Consider the following 4,493-nt stretch of genomic DNA (forward strand, 5'->3'; position numbering starts at 1 on the left):
AATGCCCCCCGTGAGCAGAGACATATAATAGGCTCTATTAGAGGATGCAGATGAAGGATTTAATTTCCCACACTCAAAAAAATGTATCTGAATGAGGCATCAGGAAACCTGGGCTTGCCTCTTGTCTTGGAAGGCCGAGTTGGATAACAAAGGGATGGTGTTGCCTGTGTTGGAGGAGAGAGGTTTTCCTGAACAATTTGTGAAAGTCACTATGAATATACTGATGCTCCCTGAAACCAAGAATCCCCAAAGACGCATTATTGGCTCCAGCTTTGTTGGCAATGGGCATACATTTCATTTCCTTCCATCCTTCAGCTCCTCAGAGCATGCAGAACTTTCTACCATTTAAATGACCCTGCTATGTTATTGGAGGAAGCTGACTCAGGTTAACAGTGAACCCAGACATAATAGGACTTGGTTTCAGGTGTGGGATTTGGGTGTCTTCTGGGGATACCCGGTACGTCGAAGTGTTCAGCAGCACTAGAGTGTCAGGAGTGTAAACACTCTTTTGAATATCTTCCTACATCTTATACTCACACCGCCCTTGCCTGAAACCCTGGAGCTGTTCTACTTGCAGAGGCTGATAGTTTGCAGGGTGGTAGAATGGCAGAAGGCTCCAGATAAGAGATCATTTCTTCTGAAATACAGTTCTAGCCACTTTTCCACACCCAATCGATGATGTATGGATGCTTGACACTCTCTCGTTGTATACGCAGTTCCTTTGATACCACCTGTAATTCTGTGTCTTATTTCCTACTGAAGGAAGTGTGTGGGTAGGCCCCATGAAGGATCCTTGGGAAAAGCCTATAAAGGATTTGAAATCTCTGGCAATGGCCATGTGATGAATTTGTCCTTTGTAAAGGATCCAGAGGATACTAAGGAATTATGACCATTGTTCTTAAACAAGGTAGGCCAAGGCTACTACTGCATCGTATAAGTTACATGCATATCTGCTTGGAGGGATAATAGAGAATTATTATGCACATCCCATATCCCATGTTTGGGGTCTCACTGTTCAGGCATATTTACTTACACACACACACACACACACACATACATACACACACACACGCCTTTAAATAGGTTAAGAAAAAATAGTTCCTTTATGTTTTTTAAAACAAAGCAGAGGCCGGGCGCAGTGGCTCACGCCTGTAATCCCAGCATTTTGGGAGGCCGAGGCGGGTGGATCACGAGGTCAGGAGATTGAGACCATCCTGGCTAACACGGTGAAACCCCGTCTCTACTAAAAATACAAAAAATTAGACGGGCGTAGTGGCACATGCCTGTAGTCCCAGCTACTCTGGAGGCTGAGGCAGGAGAATGGCGTGAACCCGGGAGGCGAAGCTTACAGTGAGCCGAGATCGCGCCACTGCACTCCAGCCTGGGTGACAGAGCCAGACTCTGTCTCAAAAACAAACAAACAAACAAAACAAACAAACAAAAAGGCAGAGAGAGTATTGTAATGTAACTTCACCATTTGTCAGGGAGAAATTGATTTTTGCTAGAGGCCCACAGTCTTTTCCCAGAGTCCCTAAATTGAATGATTACAGGAGCTGGGCAGATGACCCACGTGTGTTTCAGACTGTGGTAAGACATTAGGGAACGGTACACATTCCACATCCAAAAACCCAGTCTAAACCAATCCTCAAAAAACTGCTGGCCAAGCATTTATGGATTTTTCTAAGCAGCAAACCACCAGGCTCTTAGACTCCCCTTTGCCCCACTGCAGGGTACCCCTGGCCCCTTCTGCCCTGATCTCTCCCTCCTCTTCTCCCCTAGTGGTGGGTGTCTGCGGTATTCTCCTGCTTCTTTCACCATTTTATCCTGCATGGTTCCCTCATTGTTCAATTAGGCTTTGAACTCTTCAAATGGTGGGGTAGGCAGATGTGGACTTAAGTTTCAGGTCCACCAATTTCTGGCTGTGTGGACTGGCTGTTTAAATTCTTAGAATGTCAGTTTTCTGATTTGTAAAACTGGAATAATGATAATACCTCTTCAGAAGTTGTTTAAAGATACGATCGTAACATTAAGATGCTTAGCACAGCGCCTAGCATATGTTCCATACACGCTAGTTGTTGTTACTGTTGTTATTATTATTTATCGTTCATTCATTCATTCATCAGATAAATCCTCTCTGGCTGTACTTCCCTGCCCACTGACACAGAGCAGGAGCACAGCATGCATTAGCTGAATGAATCATGTCAAAGGGAACCAATTCCTCCTTAGGTCATGGGACATGCCAGGAGTCAGCACTCACTTTGTTTGGGTACAGGCAGGACCCTGGCTTGGGGAGTAGAAGAGGGAGCTGTGATTTGGGGTGCAAGCATCCTATAGGGCTAACTAGCTGGGGACCAGTCTTACCTGGGTCCTTGGCCTCGTTCTGAGTTCTGCCTTGGCTACTCTCCAGATCACAGAGTACCCGTCAGATCCATGCACACAGTAGAAGGAGTCAGGGAACCTCTGCAGATGTCTGTGCCTGCAGGGAGTGTTTCCATACAACCCCTGGGCTTGGGCATTGGAAGCAGAGGCTGTGGTCATTTAAATGCCTTAAGCATTTCCAACCCCTTGCCTTTTCCATATGGGAGCCCCAGGGTGGGTGTTGCTGCTGACCAGCTCCTCGTCCTCCCTCGCATCTCTGGAACTCCTGCCCTGACCCACAATGCTCACTCCTGCTGCACTCCCGACCTCCTCCAGAGCAGCCTTCCCTCACAGCTCAACACCTTTACCTTCAGCCCTCCTTTTCCTTCTTTTCCGGATAATGATTTTTGTAGTTAATGAGGTTCCCCCTCCCAGTTCTCTAATTACATGACTCTGCAGTCAAATTTAGTAACCATCCAGCTATCTATTTATACACCACTGGGCTTCTCAGCTCTTCCTCCTGAGGTTCTTCCATGACCCTGTTATTTCTCACCACTGTAGCAAATGAAGTATGTCTTGAAGAAGATGGTTATTTCCCCTAAAAGGACTCTCGGTATGTGAAGAGACACTGCTGTTGTGAATAATTAGCAGAAATATTGTTGGGATGCTTGGTCTTAAGACTAAGTGTTTGAAAGCTCGGTTAATGCTCGTCTGGAATTGCCTAATGTTCTTATAGGTTTTCTCACTATTAAAGTGGAACCTCATAATGATGCCCAAAAGGAATTGCCCTTCCTTGTCAATCATATTTATCACAGAACATCTCAATCAACTTATGAAATCCTTCTTGAACATTTGTTGAACCCAGTAATGTGCTGTGAGCTCTAGGGAAATGGCTGGGGGAGCTTTCAAGGAATAGATCCTCAAGCCTCATCCCAGGATTCCTGGGATCAGAAACTATCTGCCAGAGTCTAATATGCAGCCAGGGTGGAAAACAACTCCAGGGCAAGAGTTCCTTAGCCTCTGGAAATTTGGAAGTGTATGCAGAGAGTACCAGCTGTGCATCTGCACAGTGCTGGGCACTCTTGTGGCTATTAGCTCACCTTTCTAGTTCTATTACCTTGACCAAGTTTCTCACACTCCATAAGCACAGGTGCAGATCCACCTCAGAGTCAAAAGGTCACACAACCAAGGGGTGGCAGAGCCTAAATCTCTCTGGCTACAAAATCCATGCCTTTTCCACCCCATCAAGGTATTTATGCCAGGAAGAGACACCAGGCCATGCATAATTAAATGGCAAATCCTTGGTTCTGATTCTGTAGGCATTTAGCTGAGACAGTGGGGAGATCCATGGAGTATGGAGAATTCAGCCAAGATTTTGCTGAGGAGGAGAGATTAAAGTGGGACTTGACAGATCCCTGTGATGAGCTTGGAAAACAGAAGCAGATAATGTTTCCTCCATTGCTGGACAAAATGAGAGCATTTCGCAGGTTTGGCTGATGATTTCATTGTAAACAGGTGAGTGTGTGGAGAGTGGTGGTATAAGGAAGGTGGCGGTGGATGCAGTTGGCAGTTCACTTCCCAGGCTGGACTTTCTGGAATTTGTGCTCCCCTAGGGGGCCATTGCCTCATCAGCTTTGTAGGTTTAGAACTTCAGTTTTTTCAATTGGCCGGGCACTGTGGTTCTGGGGAATGGATTCGTTGTGGCTAAACAGGACTCTGCTCTCAGGGGAATGAGGTACATAACTGGCATGGACATTTACAACAGAAGGCTTCTCCAGCAGGAAGTTAGGGGCCAGCCACATGTACCTGCAGAGGAGGGCCACTGCCTCCTGGGGCTGTGGTCAGGAAGGGTGCTTGAGAAGGGTCCATCCTGAATCAGAATGTTGCCTGAGGAGTGCAGAATAAGAGCAAAAAAGGTTGGATATTCACAAGGAATATTTCCTCCTACTTATCCTGAAGATACTTTTGTCTCATTCAGAAGTGTTTATTATTAGAACCAGACCAACCATTCAACTGGACAGGAGATACTCAAAACATTGTTTCTCCATGGCTTTTGTCTTTCTGTACTCCACACAATGTCCAATGTATTATGACAACTTTATCAAGATAACATATAGTCAATCAGATACAACTTA

General features: G+C 45.8%; 1 annotated feature.

Moving 5' to 3' along the window:
• Positions 3,943-4,133: a silencer, noted in NCBI's record as "fragment chr10:106267772-106267962 (GRCh37/hg19 assembly coordinates)". NCBI's record gives its function as "represses an EF-1alpha promoter that drives an FKBP-Casp9 reporter gene in an ReSE screen in K562 erythroleukemia cells {active_cell/tissue: K562}" and the evidence as "EXISTENCE:reporter gene assay evidence [ECO:0000049][PMID:32094911]".

Source organism: Homo sapiens, chromosome 10, assembly GCF_000001405.40.
Source record: "Homo sapiens chromosome 10, GRCh38.p14 Primary Assembly".
Classification (NCBI taxonomy): Eukaryota; Metazoa; Chordata; class Mammalia; order Primates; family Hominidae; genus Homo; species Homo sapiens.